The sequence below is a fragment of the Homo sapiens genome, chromosome 8 (genome assembly GCF_000001405.40).
Source record: "Homo sapiens chromosome 8, GRCh38.p14 Primary Assembly".
In the NCBI taxonomy this organism is placed as follows: domain Eukaryota; kingdom Metazoa; phylum Chordata; class Mammalia; order Primates; family Hominidae; genus Homo; species Homo sapiens.
This window is the reverse complement of record NC_000008.11, coordinates 139,963,062-139,979,004: the sequence shown is the minus strand read 5'-3', so window position 1 is coordinate 139,979,004 and position 15,943 is coordinate 139,963,062. Positions and strand designations below refer to the sequence as shown.

Sequence of the window (15,943 nt, the reverse complement as noted above, 5' to 3'; positions counted from 1 at the left end):
CCGGCCACCGAGTCCCACACACACATCTCTCCTGTGAAGCCCACCCAGATGTCTCTGCCCGTCTATGAAGAAAGCAACTCAGGTTATCTGTGGAAAAAAAACCAGAGTGCTCTGGACGGAGCAGAGACGCGTTGCGATCCCAGCTCCACTGGTTCTCTGGGACCTCGGCCTGCCTTCAGCCCCTCATCTGTCCAGCGGGGAGTGAGAATCCCAGCCACACCCGCCTCAGGCCTGGGCAACTTCCGTGAAGGTGCCCGAGTGAAAGGGCATTGCAGAGGGTAGCCTGGCACAGACACAGCCATCGCTGTGTGGTCTTTCACGTCACAGCTTTATTATGGAGATTTCACACACATACACAGAAGGCACCATCTTCGGATAATGACCCCACGTGCTTGTCGCCCACCTTCAACAAGCAGCAATGCTCGGTGGATTTTTCTCATCTGTTATCCCTACCTATTTCCCCATTTCCTCTAATTTTGAAGCAGATCCAATCAATCATATTATTTCATCTGTAAACATTTTCATATTTAATGCTGTAACTCTTTTTAAATGTCACAATACTTCATTATGCTTTAAAATTAACAATGAACAGTTCCTCATTATCAACAAGTACCCAGCCGGTGTTTAAATTTCCGGTTGTCTCAGTGACCTATTTCCTAACATTGGTTTGCATCAGAATTCAAGAAATGGCTATGTCTCAATCCATGTTTAATGTGCAGGTTGACTGTTCACCTCTTTTCCTCTTGGACATTTTGCATTTCGTTAAAAAGGTCCCAGGGTGGGGTTCTGCCGGTTGTGTGCCTGTGGTCCTCTTAAACTTGTTCCTCAGCCGGGCGCCGTGGCTCACACCTGTCATCCCAGCACTTTGGGAGGCCAAGGTGGGAGGATCCCTTGAAGCCAGGAGTTCGAGACCAGCCTGGCCAACAAGGTGAAACCCCAGCTCTACTAAAAATACAAAACAAAACAAAACTTGTTTTTCGGTCTTCTTTCTCTTTTTTTAGTCCTCATTAAATTAGGAGTAGGAGGCTGGGTGCGGTGGCTCACACCCATAATCCCAGCACTTTAGGAGGCCGTGGTGGGTGGATCACCTAAGGTCAGGAGTTTGAGACCAGCCTGCCCAACATGGTGAAACCCCGTTTCTACTAAAGATACAAAAATTAGCCGGGCGTGGTGGCACACACCTGTAATCTCAGCTATTCGGGAGGCTAAGGCAGGGGAATTGCTTGAACCCAGGAGACGGAGGCTACAGTGAGCTGAGATCGCCCCACTGCACTCCAGCCTGGGCAACAGAGTGAGACTCCATCTCAAAAATGAATGAATGAATGAATGAATGAATGAATGAGGAGGAGGGAGGCTTGATCGTATTCAGCATTTTTTTTTTTTTTTTGAGACAGAGTCTCACTCTGTCGCCCAGGCTGGAGTGCAGTGGCGCGATCTCCGCTCTCTGCAAGCTCTGCCTCCCAGGTTCACACCATTCTCCTGCCTCAGCCTCCAGAGTAGCTGGGACTACAGGCGCCCGCCACCACGCCCGGCTAATTTTTTGTATTTTTACTAGAGACGGGGTTTCACCATGTTAGCCAGGGTGGTCTCGATCTGACCTCGTGATCCACCCGCCTCGGCCTCCCAAAGTGCTGGGATTACAGGTGTGAGCCACCACGCCTGGCCTCAGCATTTTTTTTCGAAGCTACTTCATGGATACTGTTGTGAATCTCCATCGGCAGATACTGAGTGTTTATCGGTTCTGTGATGGGGCCGTTTCATTTGATGGTGTTCTCTTACCCAGCCCTGTCCCGCACGGGCCGTTACACCTGTTCTGGCACATTCAAGCCCTCTCGTCCCCAGAAAAACCCTTACTCTTCTCCTGCATGGCTCGAAACAAAATATGAAAGTGCTTTACTGCTTGAGGTTTGGAAGTGATCAGGTGAAGATGCGAAGACATTTGCTGTATGTTTTCAGGCCAGAATCGTCTTACTCATCAGATAATCCAGACCCAGTAGCTGCCCAGGGAGAGAAATTGGGGCAGCATTGACCCTGATTCCGCGGCCCTGCAGGATTGGAAACTTCCAGACACTTCTGGCAGCTCACCAGTTTGTCTCGGGGACCCTGTGTCTCCCCCTACAGCTCCCCCACACTGCTCCTCTCAGAGGAGCAGAGGTGAACAGGCAGCATCCTGCCTTCCAGGTGCCTGTGAGTAAGTGACTCTGGTGCCAGTATCCCCGCAGAAGGCGAAGGGCACCGGGATGGCAGCTGAGTCCTCCCTGCCAGACTCTGCAAGGCTGCTTCATGTACGTCTTGGCCTGTGGCTTCTCCCTGTGGTTTTCATTTACCTCTCCAAGGGCTGATGGGAGCGTTTTCTCAGCTCCTCACGAGCCGTGCGCAGATCCCTTGTGGTGAGGCACCTGAGCCTTTGGCACCCTTTTTAAAACCAGGTTCGTAGCCGCCTTATTATTGAGTCAGAGAGTTCCTTGTGCATTGTGGTCATAAGCCCTTTGTCAAATGCCTGGTTTAGAGATACTTCTCCCAGTCTGCGATTTGTCTTTTTCTTAGCGGTGAGAGAAATTGTAGGTGCTGATGAAGTACAGTTTATCAATTTTTAAACATAGGCTGTACCTTTGGTGTCATAAGCCTCTGCATAATCCATGGTCACAAATATGTTCTCCTATGTTGTTTTTAGAAGTTTTATAGTTTTAAATCTTACATTTATGTCCATAATCCTTTTGAGCTAATTTTTTGTGTCGGGTGTGAGGTGAAAGCTTTTCTTATGTTGCATATGGATATCCAGTTATTCCAGCATGGGGTGTTAAAAAAAACCCTGGCCAGGCGCGGTGGCTCACGCCTGTAATCCCAGCACTTTGGGAGGCTGAGGCGAGCGGATCACGAGGTCAGGAGATCGAGACCATCCTGGCTAACACAGTGGAACCCCGTCTGTACTAAAAGTACAAAAAATTAGCCGGGCGAGGTGGCGGGCGCCTGTAGTCCCAGCTACTGGGGAGGCTGAGGCAGGAGAATGGCGTGAACCCCGGGGGGGTGAAGCCTGCAGTGAGACTCCATCTCAAAAAAAAAAAAAAAAAAAAAAAGACTGTCCTTTCTCCATTGGATGGCTTTAGTGCCTTTGTCTAAAATCAGTTGACCATAAACATGAGGGTTATTTTCTGAAGACACTTATTAGAAGAGAGAGCAGCTGATGGGGATGTCAGTGGATGGGCTGACAGGTGACATGAAGAGAGGAGGGGCGTTGGCACAGCCAGGGCAGCTTGAGTGGGGTGAAGTTGGGAGGGAAATGGCGTCCCATGGCCTGGATGCTGATGCTCGGTGCTAATGTAGGAGTGTGGGGGTGGTGAGGGGTCAACTTGGCTGGGCCAAATCCTAGAGGACCTTGGCTGGCAGGTTGAGGGAAATTGATCTTTATATTTTTTAATGAGGAATTTGTAGGTTTTTGAAGAGGATGCCTTTGCCTTGATCTTTGTCTTTTGGGGTTTCTCTGTTTTCACCTGTAGCATAAATGACCACTTCACAGCTGGCTTGAAAGCCTCCTGTGGGAGTCGTGGTTCTCAAAGTGCGGACCCAGGCCAGCAGCAGCACCATCACCTGGGAACTTGCTAGAAATGCAAATTCTTAGACCCACGCCAGGCTTACTGTGGGGCAGGGCCCAGCGATCTGTAGTTTAAGAGGCCCTCCAGGTGCTCTGACGTTCAGGGAAGTCACAGAACCTGTGTGCTAGCGAAATGCGGAGGCCAGTGATCCAGGCTGACCAGCAGTCGCCACTGTCTCTAGTGCTGCCCAGAAGCCACACCTGTGTATGGAGCCTCATTCACATGCAGTTTGGTGGAAAGTCTCGTCTAGGGCAGTCCTTGTTTTCATTGGCCTCTAGTGAAAGTTGCCAGACCTTGGTCCTAGGTTCACTCATAATCACCGCTGTCCCTTCTTGGTGGTGCTTTCCAGCCTGGAGAGTGAGCTGGAGAGGCAGTCTGGAGACAAGGATGGGCTTTGACTCTGATGGGGTGCAGTGCTGGGGGAGCCCTTTGAATCGGGTGCGGCTGATCTAGGTCTGCTGATGGGAGGCAGAGCAGGCAGCCCCAGGGATGGCCTGTGGAGGTGCCCTCGGCAGAGCTACAGCCCCTGGGGAACAAGGCGGAGAGGGAGAGGCAGCCGGAGGCTGCCGGGCGGAGTGGAAGACCACGGAAACCTGGGCCCAGCCTCCACATGAGCTGGTCTTCTGTGAGCCTCGCGTCCACGTCTGTAAAATGGAGCCCTGTAGGAGCTGAGAAGGAGCATGAACAGCACACACAGCAGGAGCCGGCACAGTGGGCAGCCTGGGGTGTGCCTCACCTCCCTTGTCTACAGGGATGCTTTAGTGGGCCCAGGGCCCTGGGCCCCAGCTGGCTGAATGTCATGGAGAAAACATTGACCTCAAGCCATCCTGAGTTGAATAACTTCATTTTCTTAACCTCTGTGAGCTTTAGTTTCCACAAGGGCTGCACAATCAGGACTATCATAACTACCCCTCTGGGTTGCCAAGAGGTTGTAGTGAGGTCATGTGGGTGTTTCTGTGGTGGGCACTTAATGTAATCAGTGGTGGGGTCTTGTCTGCTGATGCTGCAGCTGCTGGAACGGGGAGATGTTGGGTTAGCTCAGGAAGAACCCGTCACATGGCGGAGGCTCATCCAGGAATTCCTGCCCTTCCTGGGAGACTGTACATCCACGCTCTGAGATTCTACTAGCTTTCCATTTTCTGTTGTGTTGTCTGTAACTTGTTCTCCTAGAAGCGCACAGTTTTCTCTTGCGTACCGATACATGAGCCTGCTGGGCGAGCTGTGAATTCAGCCTCTTATTATCTCAGATTCCCCATCCATCTTTCAACCGTGGCAGGCACAGGAGAGAAACCTGAGCCTGAGTAATCTCAAACTCCTTTCCTCACCGCCTCTCCCTGACGAGTACCCAGTGTGGCCTGGAGGCTTGGGCGGCAGGGATGGGGGGACCATGGAGCCGTCAGGCCGCTCTCGAAGCTCCTGCTGCTTTCTTTGGTACTCTGCCCTTGCTCACCTGCCATTCGTCCTTATAGATCATTTCTCCCTCCCAGGTGGCCCACAGGGTGTGTGGGGAGGTTCGCAGGGACTCGAGAGGGATGGCAGTAGCTTGACGGGCCTGGTGCGTGTCTCAACATCCAGGAGTGGGTCTGTGGAGAAGGTCCCTGGGGTGGTTTGGGGGCCTGGCACTCACCTCGGCCTCCTCCCCCAGCCTCCCAGAGGGTCCTGCATGTGGGGAAGGAAAACCTTTCTCAGTACCGCCTTCGACTTTTCCCTGGTGCTGCTCAGTGTGGTTTCACCCGTGCCTTCCGGGGTCAGCGCCAGTGACTCCAGAGGCCGGAAACTACTTTTGTTCATTCGTCGTTTTCCAATTTCATAGAAATTTCTCAGTGATTTTTATTTCCGTTACTATTCCCTCTTCTCTTAGCAGTGGAACATTTCAACTTTTTCAGTTTGCCCCCTGTCCACGTCAGGTCTTGGTAGGAAGGTAGACTTGGTAAGCCCTGCCTTGTGTGACCCTCACGGTCAGTGTGAGAGCAGGCTAAGGCAGGGTGGGTGCCACGGCCCTGTGGTTTTCATCCAGGACTGGAGATTTTTGAGAATGAAGGGCAGACAGTGATCACAGATCTTGCAGGGACGGCAGGCCTAAACCTGGACTGTCCAGGGGCGCTGGCCCGTGGCCACCCTGCTGCTGGGGTGATACGGTGCGGGGCCTGACCCCTCCAAGGCCTCCCCTATCCTAGACCTTTCCTCTTGGACGGATGCCTCAGAGGCCAGTCTGTGCTGGGTCCCTCTCTGTTCACATGACAAGGACTTGCTAAACGTTTGTCTATGCAGGGCCACAATAACTGGGACGTACTTTTTCTTATGGTAGAAACATTTGCCATAGAAAAAGGGTGGCTTTTAAATTCCACCTGCGCTCTAGTTGTTGAAGCCATTTCTTCCTCCTCCCCCTAGTCCATGGGGTAGCTGGGGGCAGGAATGAGAACGTGGTCGTCCCTTCTGAGTCAGTGGTGGGAGGAGAGGAGCTGCTGGGCTTCAGCCGAGCCCCTGGACAAGGGGAGCCTGAGGCCGGGTCTGGGACGGAGTATCAGCTGTGGGGAACTGGAACTCCGACCTTCTTCCCCGTCTGCCTCATCTATAAGCATTTTGGTAATGGGAAAAGAAATTTTTGTTTATTTTGCATCCTCCATGTTTTAGGGAAGTTCTTTGGGGTCCAAGTTTTCATTCTCTCTGTGACCCCAGGGATCCAGCCTCAGATGCTGAGGCTTAGTTGAGGTACAGATAAAACATACTTTGGCCACAGCACCTGTGATTTGTGTTGCTCTGGGCCAAGTCGTGGCCAGGGCTGTGGTGTCTGGGGCCCAGGTCGTGTCTTGTGTGAGTTGTACGTGGTCTGGGGAGTCTGAACCTTGAGCTTCTGAGGCCCTGTGCCCTTTTTCCAAGTAGCCTGTCAGATGGAATGGGGTTCTGTGGCGTAGCCTCCCCGGAGAGGCACATTTGCAAGGATGCAGAGGAATTCTGTGTTTTCCTGTACTCCTGGGTAGAGCCTCCTAAAATACGGTTCTTTTCATCATCTTAATTTTAATCTATTACTGTGAGAAAACTTTGGTAAAAACAAGTATCAAATGTTGTTGTTCTGTACAGAAGCACCTCCCAGGTAAGTTTGGGACTCACCCCTCCTCAGAGTTGGGCCATGGGCATTTTATAAGCTGAGAGAGTCAAAGGTATTTGTTTCCTTAAATGCGTTTTGCTCAATTCTCCCTGAAGCTTTGGTGGTGGCATGAGGGCATGGGTGTGGGGTGGTATCAGGGTGTGTTCTTTATACTGAAAATTAAAAATATGTAACTAGGGCCGGGCATGGTGGCTCACGCCTGTAATCCCAGCACTTTAGGAAGCCAAGGCAGGTGGATGACTTGAGGTCAGGAGTTCGAGATCAGCCTGGCCAACATGGTGAAACCCCCATCTCTACTAAGAATACAAAAAAATTTAGGCGGGCATGGTGGCGCGTGCCTGTAGTCCCAGCAACTTGAGAGGCTGAAGCAGGAGAATCGCTTGAACCCAGGAGGTGGACGTCGCAGTGAGCCATCACTGCACTCCAGCCTGGGTGACAGAGCGAGCGAGACTCTGTCTCAAAAAAAAAAATTGTGTGTGTGTGTGTATATATATATATGTATATATATATGTGTATATATGTGTGTGTATATATATATGTGTGTGTGTGTGTGTATATATATATGTGTGTGTGTGTGTGTATATATATATATGAACTTTAGCATTCATTCTTGCCATTGATTCCTCATGTTAAGTGCATGTCATCTTGCCAGGCACGCCTGGTGCTGGTGAAACAGCTGAGAACAAGGCATGGTTCTTTGTGCAGAGAGCACTGGGCTCGAGGGGATAGAGCACCCACCTCTGCAAGGTATGAAGGCAGGGGCAGGCCCAGAGACTGCTGAGGAGGGGCTCATCCTCCAGCCAGCCTGGGTGCAGGTGTTGGGGACAGCTTTCTGGTGGAAGAGGCCTTCAGGGGAGATTCACCGGCCAGGAGGAGCTGGGCAGGCAGAGGGCAGCTGGGTGGGGATTGCTCACCAGTGAGGACTGCCTGTGCCAGGCCAGGAGGTTGGGGGCGGGGGAGCACACTGGGTTCCCGAGGCTGAAGCTGTTCAGGGTGGGAGTGAGGGCAGAGACGATAGTCCAGGGTGAGGCTGGAGGGGCAGCAGGGCCCATGAGCCAAGGTCGAAGTCAGGTCTCTTGTGAGGGAAGGGACGGTCATGAGAAGGCAGGAGAGTGTGCCATCAGATTGGCCTTTTGGGAAGTGCCTGGAAGGGGTGAGTGACGACTGGCGGGAGCCTGGGTGCTGATCTCGGGGTGGGTTGCAGTGGCTGGGCCTGGGGGTGCCATTGGTGCAGAGAAAAGAGGTGGATTCCGGGATGTGTGGGTAGGAGGAGAATTTGGCAGGGTTTAGGGGTGTGGGGTATGGAGAAGGAGGGGAAGGGTTTGGGCCACAGGGCAGGTGGGGTTGCCGTTCACTCACTCGGGGAGGGCAGGAGTCACAGCTGGGGTGGAGGGGGTTCGACAGGGGGCAGAGGTTGTCTAGCCACGTGGCCCCCATCCCTTCAGGTTCAGCTGGCTTCTGGCCACACCAGAAAGGTTGTACTGTGATCCTGGACAAAGGGCACTGGGCTGCGCATTGCAGGCCTGGCACGTGACTCTACCCCTGCCACAGCCCTGCTCCCTGAATTTGGCCCTTGACACTTAGGTCCAGTCCAGCAAGCTGGGCCTCTGCTGGGTCCCATGAGGAGGTAGAAGTAGAGCTGATTATAACCCTGTAAGGCACCTGGAAAAGGTGACCCTTTTTCTTCCCTCTTGTGAGTGAGACCCTGGGAAAGGCGGAGGGAAGCCGCGCCCCTCCGTGTGTCTGAGGTCTCTGGGACAGGCTGTATGAAGGGGCCTCTCTCTGGGGTGCCAGAGGGATCTCAGGCTACTGGCTCCCGCTTCTCCCAGCCCAGATCTGCCCTCCTGCCTTCCCTTGTACCCTCCCTCCCCTTGATCCTCTCCTTCCTGCCCATTCTTGAGTCCTCAAATGCCTCTCATGTCCTGGGCTCCCTAATTTCTAAGACTTTCACATCTTCTCTCATGTGACATGCCACTGAGGCTGTGAACAGCACTGGGGACCGAGTTCTGCAGTTCCCAGCAGAGGGCTGTGACGCCCAGAGATGCTGCGGGCGCCAGCGTCAGGCGGCAGAGCTGGGACCTGGACTCCTGATGCCCGGCTCCTTCTCTTTGGGCATCGCTGGCGCCTGTTTCCGAGGTGCTTCCCTTCAGCCTTACATGATGCTTTTCTGCCTAGGAAGGGCAGAAAGAGCAGGAGGAGGAGGTCTCGTAGAAAACAGGCTGTGGTTTATGACCAGGCTGTTTATGGCCAAGAAAAATTGCTGTCTTTCCTTAGACTGTGGCTAACACAACATTTTTTGCGTACTGAAAGAAATACTTCAATGTGGAAAACTGGCTGGAAACTTGGATAACAAGACAGTGTCATAGAGCAAAGTGCTTGCCTGTTAGAACTGTTGGCGGCAAAACCAAAGTGAAATGAGGCTGACATAATGGAGTCATTTAATTTGTGTTAGTTCCTAAAGTCTTTGTGAAGTTACATTAACTCCAGATCTATTAGCCACTGGAAACTCCCCAAGATAGACACAATCAAAGCAGCCATGGCAGGGGAGAGCATTTTTGGCTTCCCAAGCTTGAACCTTTGTGCCTGGTGGCACTGGGGGGCGAGGAGCATTCCACGGCATCCCACTGACATTTGCTGACACCTTTGTGCTCTACAGGTTCACATTTTCCAGCCCTTCAGTGTTAGCTGCAGGTTTGCAGATGTGCCTTGTCACCTCTGTGATCCTTGTCATATTCCTGCTAGCCCATTGAGGAGACCCAGGCTTGGTGAGGTGAAGCCCCTTGCCCCAGGTGGCGCTGCTAGGATGTGTCTGAGCCAGGATCCGAACCTAGGCCATGAGACCCTCCTGCAGTGACTTCTGTCAGACCTGCCTTGCTTGGCCATTCCAAATATGAATCACGTTTTCTCCAGGAGCCAAGCCACGCACCAGGCGCTGCAGATGCGGCTATTAAAAGGACAGTGGCTTTGAGACCCCAGTCTAGCGAGAGGGAAAGGCTGCAGTACAAATGAGCACAGGAGGCGGGGGCATCCAAGGAGGGGCACAGAAGCTGCCCTGGGGTGGGAGGTGTGTGACATGATGCCCTCTGTCTCATGCCCAAAGCAGCGACACTGGATCTTGAACATAAGAACGGGCATTTGCCCATCCGGGCCATCTTCTCAATTCCCTTCGCTCATCTTTCCACTTGGAATGGCTGCGTTAGACATGCACGATCCACGTGCAGTGTGCGTACGTGTGTTCAGAGAATGTGGCTGTGTTCACACATCTTGCACACACACACAAAACCATGACTCCTGTTCCTGCTATCTCTGGACTCCTGTTGTTCTAGCCATGGAGTTTGTCTGAAGTGCAGCTGGAGCTGATGGTCTCTCCATGTGACAAATTGTGGACGGGCCATAAGCTTCTGGGCTGCAGAGACGGGGGTTAGAGTCCTTCCTTCACCACATTTGCATGTGGTGTAATCTCGGGTCAGTGACTTAACCTCTCTGAGCCTCAGTGTTGGCATCTGTGAAACGGGGATGATGTCAGTACCTCCCTTGCTAGGCCGGGATGAGGACAAGTTGGGTGACTCGCTCTTGTGCACCTGGTGTAGTGCCTGTCTTGTATTTAACAACTCATCCGTAAGTGGTAGTCGCTCCACTTATGAGTACTCTTCTGTGGCAGGCTCCTGTCATTCTGAAGAGGAGAACGGGAAGAGGCCCCTCCACATGAGCCTTGTCCGGAGTAGACAACGTCTCCCTTAAGGAGCGGGTGACTTTGTGAATGCACGTATCCCTGCCCACTAGCGACGTGATTCTGGAGCCCAGGCTGGTCTGGCCCAAAGGCCGGCCGAGTCCCATTGTTCCTGCTGGCCTTGTCCCCACCATATTTCAGGGTCGTCTTGGAGCTCTCTGAGATCCCAGGAAGGCAGGAGTCAGACTGGGCATCCCCTCCTGGGAAAGAACATAAGACTTTTAAGTGGGGCTGGTTTCCAGGGCTTGCTGGAGACATGGGGACACACAGATAATAGGCAGCTAAACATGGGGGAGATAATCAGGCTGTGGGCCAGGGGTGCGGGTTTCTCAGCTTTACGTAATGAAAGAGCACACAGAAGCACCATTGTGCTTTTTTTTATTTTTTGTTTTTTTATTTTGTTTTGTTTTTTGGTTTTTTTTTTGAGACAGAGTCTTGCTCTGTCGCCCAGGCTGGAGTACAGTGGTGCGATCTTGGCTCACTGCAGTCTCCCAACCTCCACCTCCCTGGTTCAAGCAATTCCCCTGCCTCAGCCTCCTGAGTAGCTGGGATTACAGGTGCACGCCACCATGCCTGGCTAATTTTTTTGTATTTTTAGTAGAGACAGGGTTTCACCATGTTCGCCAGACTGGTCTGGAACTCCTGACCTCAGGCAGTCCGCCCGCCTCGGCCTCCCAAAGTGCTGGGATTATAGGTGTGAGCCACCGCGCCCGGCCACCATTGTGTTTTTTTTAAAAACAAAAACAAAGCGTGCTTTTTAAAACCTGTTTTATTATACAGTTTCCAGTTATTATTCCATAGCAGAGGGAGAAGACAAAGGAAAAATGCTGGGGTAATACAACATACAGTGCTGTGGGCGTGAGGCCATGAACAGCCAGTTGTGCTCTTTCTTCCTGGCGGGCCCAGGCATTTCCTCACCATGTCACCTGCCTTTGGCTTCCCCAGCCACTGTGATCAGGGCTCCTGGAGCACTCTGTGCACATGTCCTGCACAGCATATGCCTAGTGTCATTGTTTAGACATCAGTCTCTCCACTGGGAGCCCCCTTTGGCAGGAATCCTGTCTTCATCATCTCTCTGTACCGACACCTAGCTGAGTGGCCAATACAGTAGGAACTGGATCGAGTCATTCGAACCCTGATCTGTATCATTCTGTGCAGGATAAGTTATTCTCCAGTAACAAATGGCCCAGAATCTTAGTGACTTAGTGCAGCAGCACAAATACTTGTTTCTCATTTAAGTTCTGTGTCTATTGCAGCCTGGTTTTGGCTCTGCTGCGGTCTGCTTTCATTCAGTGACCCAAGTCCTCTCTGAGACATACTGGGGAGTATGGCAGAGGGAAAAGTGAAGGGGAAGGACCCAAGAATTGCTCATGAGCATTCTGCTTGCAGGTGGCCTGTGTGACTTCCATTATGCTCTCAGTCAAACAAGTCATGAGGCAGCCAGAACCCAACAAGGTGAGGCTGGATGATCCTGTAGGAAGGGGCCCTGAGTGTTTCGGACAGTAACGCAATCTACCGCACTTCCACTGCATTTAAAGACAAACTACCATGCTTATTAAAACTTCGTCTTTACGTTGACTTTTTGCTCTCTTTAAAAGGTGCATGCTTTTTTCTTACCCTATGTTAATATGTCATCTTACAGTTGACTCTGTATTCTCTTATTCTTTTCTATTTTCATTCCAAAGACTTTCATGGAGCACCCAGTTTGTGCTAAACCGTATGTCGGGAATGGTGCTGAGGTTGCACCGAAATGACCATCTGAAACCTGCCATGATATGTATTGATGCACGTGTGTACTCAGCATGTAAATGAGGCTGTTGTTCTTTTCATTGGGGTTTATTGAGCACTTATTAGACTCAACCCCCTATGGCCGGTACAGAAAAACAGCTCTCTCCCTGCTCTTGAGAAGGTTTTGTTACAGTGGGATTAGAAAGGAGCTGGCATTTATTGAGACGCAGAGTGTGCCAAGCATCGTGCCACCTGCAGCCCTAAGGAACAGGCAAATTTATACCCATTTAACACAAGAAACAGACTGAGACAAAAACAGAAGCAATGCGTGCACAGTAGGCTATTCTGGAAGAAGGACCAAGCTTGGGCCTGTGTGCCTCCCTGCAGGAGCCCCACCGCTGCAGGAGCTAGGGCTGAGGAAGGGTGCAGCATGCGTCCTGTGGGAGCAGAGAGCAGGGTCTGATGGGTGAGAAGTCTCAGCCCTGGGTGAGAGCACCCTGCCCTGGCAGAGAGAGGAGCTTGTGGGCCCAGGGTGATCCTGCGTTTCCCACCACTCCGTGTGCCGGGAACCCAGCAAAGTGGGGCTTGGATGCAGGTTATCTGGCATCTGGTCTCCTTCTCTGGGGTGGAATGGGATGACTGTGCCCCATCTCCACCTCCCTTCGAGGATGAGAGATGGTCAAGCCAGTGGCCTTGTCTGTTCTGCCCCCACCTCTCATACTGTGACTCGCTTGGAGGGGCCCAGAGGCACTGGCTGAGCAGAACTCTTCACAACTTCATAGAAACGTCCTATGTGAAAGTAGTAGTCGTAGTTACTGTTTTTCAAAATGGATAGGTACCAAGGACATTTTCCCCTTGCAAAGCCTCCCGCAGACAGGCCTGGTGCTGTGCCGGAAGGCCTTGTGGCGCAGGCTGTGCGAGATGTCAGCCCGAGATGTCAGTCTGCTGTGCTTCCCTCACTGCTGTTTATTGGTGATTAGGTTAAAGGAAATTCTTTTATTTCCAATTAGTCCTCCCCAGTGAACCTGTTCCACATTCAGCACGTAGCCAACTCTGCTCAACATGGAGCCTTCTCTCCCCCGTGTGATGCGTCTCTGCTTTTTAAAAGTAATTGCATTGTTTGTATTTCCCCTTGCACTAGGGTATGTCTCTGGAACAGGGAAGCAGAGGTTTGGTTGGTGAATGTGAATGGATATGGGATGGAAAATCTCAGCCAGTGTCAGCTGGGGGCTCCTGGAGACCAGCAAGCAAAGCTTCTTTGCCTTGGAAACCTTTGTTCTTTGTTCTTGATAAATTTTCTACTATTAAAAATTCATGAATGCATCATTTTCGGCTCAATGAGATCCTAGGACCTATCTTGTCAGCCCCAGTTCTGCAGCTCTGATGGACTCCCCTGAGGAGGACGTGTGCAGACTTCAGTCTGTTCAAAGGAAGCTAATGAGGTGGCTGGGAGCCTCGGGAGCTGCTGCAGCACCCCAGGGTGTCATCCTGGGGAAAAGGTGGCTTTTCAAGGATTGTCATGCGGGGAGAATCTCCCAACATTGCAAGTTATAGAGGGCACATTTCAGAAAACACAGGACTATCCTAAATGGTCATTTTCCACTGCACAATCATTTCTCAATTCCTGAACGTGCAAAGCACTGTGCTAGGGGCTGAGGGCCTGCAGATGAATGGGCCGTCATCCTTGCCTTGTGGTTAGAAGCCTGTGGAAGGCAGCTGGGCCCTGTGTCCCCCAGAGACCCCCTGCTGAGGGACGAAGACAGGCCAGTCCACAGAGAGTTACAGCCAGCCTGGGCTGACTTGGAATAGACTCAGTCCTACAGCTGAGGACAGTTCAGCACCTTCACCTGGCCCCGAGTCCAGTGGATCAGTAGGAGAGCAACAGCCCCAGTTAGGCTCGGTACGATAGGATAGATCAGCTGCATTTGGGCAATGTTATGGACAGCATTCCTCTCCTGCTTTCACGTAAGCTTCTCAAGTGCATGTATGAGCAGCACTGGGGTCTAAGGTCCTTGGTGGGAATAGTACTTTAGGGAAATTAAAAATCTGGCCTCCAGCAAATATTATTTTTCCTCAAATTTGTTGAGGACTCAAAGGTATACAGTGTTGCCATGCTTCCTACCATTTCATCTCTTTATGTTTTCTTAAATAACTAGGCTTTATCATCTTGGAGATGCTGTTCTGCATATTTGTAATGATTTTTCTGTATAGAAATACCTCCGAAGTCCCTTAAGCTTTGGAATGGTTAAGTTGGAAGGGATCTTTGAGATACCGAAAGCCCTGATGCCCTGCCTCACAGATGAGGATCCTGAGGCTCAGAGTGGCCTTCTCAGTGCCTGGTAGAAGAGCCTCGAGTAGAACTTGGCTTTCGGCTTCTTAGATCATAGCCACTGAATCTTCTCCAAGGCGGAGGATTCTTAGAGAGTGTTGAGTTAGTGCTCTGTGAGAGAGTGCATTCCAGAGTTGGCTATGAACTGATTGTCCACACACCCTGTGGAGAGACCACCATCCATCTGTCAGTCTGGAGAATCCCGCCTCATTCTCCCAGACATCATCTCTGCCCTGAGGCCTTCCCTGGCCTCCTGAGGTGCTCCCCCGCTTTTTTTTTTTTTTTTTTTTTGAGACAGAGTCTTGCTCTGTCGCCCAGGCTGGAGTACAGGTGGCGCGATCTCTGCTCACTGCAAGCTCCACCTGCCAGGTTCATGCCATTCTCCTGCCTCAGCCTCCCAAGTAGCTGGGACTACAGGTGCCCGCCACCACGCCCGGCTAATTTTTTGTATTTTTAGTACAGACAAGGTTTCACCATGTTAGCCAGGCTGGTCTTGATCTCCTGACCTCGTGATCCACCCGCCTCGGCCTCCCAAAGTGCTGGGATTACAGGCGTGAGCCACCGTGCCTGGCTAAAAACAAACATAATTTTTTTATAGTTGCATAAGTCAATTCTACATATATACCATAATTTACTAATCATGCCCTATCATCAGTCATTTTAATTGATTCCATTGTTTCTGTATTTTAAATAACATAGAAATAAGCATCCTTGTGTTTGAGACTTGGTCTGTAGTTGTTTTTTTTTTTTTTTTTTTTTTTTTTTTGGTAGAACTGGTTCTCGGAGGGAATCCCTCACTGGTTCCGACGCCCTTTAGGTCCTGTGTTACATCTATCAAATGGCTTTGCAGGTATGCTGTAGCATGAAGGTGTGCTTAATTTTCATGAAAACCTGAACATTTCCTGGTAGATCATCTAAAAGTGAAAGGGAAAGGGGCCCACGTGACCTGAGGCCATGAAAGGAGAATGAGTTGTGTTGCCTTCAACTGAAAGGACGAGTCTCCCATCCCTCCAAAAGCTCCTACATGGCCACAGGAAGCCACGCTCACCCAGGGAATAAGGATGAAATGAAATGAGTGAGCAAAACAGTAAATAAGTGAAAATGGGCAAATTCCTTAACTCCTCTACACCTCAGCCATCCTTGGGAAGCCTAGGGTTAAATCTAACCTTCCTAGAAGTATCTGCTCTGCTGTTTCCGTAGCCCGGGCTTAGAAGGAGGCAGACGCAGCATTGTTAGCCTGTTAGCCATGATTTAGTGCAAGGCTCCAAGGGAGAGCATGAGAGCCACTGGGGTGGGAAAAAATAGCAGTATTATCACCGATTTCTATGTATTGTATCCAAAGGTCTATGAAAAATTAAACCTTGCTACATGATACTTAATATGCAGGCCACATTAAATATCATGTAGTCTTTAATGAGAGACACCTCCGTCTCTCGTTAGTGGTATTAGTTCTC

At 51.1% G+C, this 15,943-nt stretch overlaps 1 protein-coding gene across 15 annotated transcripts in view, besides 1 other annotated feature; it reads left to right on the top strand.

The window, feature by feature from the left end:
* Nucleotides 1–15,943, top strand: part of TRAPPC9 (trafficking protein particle complex subunit 9) — a 730,855-nt gene that overhangs the window by 479,575 nt on the left and 235,337 nt on the right. The gene's annotated exons all lie outside the window — the stretch shown is intronic.
* Nucleotides 5,111–5,611: an enhancer, noted in NCBI's record as "H3K4me1 hESC enhancer chr8:140983608-140984108 (GRCh37/hg19 assembly coordinates)". NCBI's record gives its function as "activates a minimal SCP1, AML or CMV promoter by ChIP-STARR-seq in primed H9 embryonic stem cells {active_cell/tissue: H9 hESC(primed)}" and the evidence as "EXISTENCE:reporter gene assay evidence [ECO:0000049][PMID:30033119]".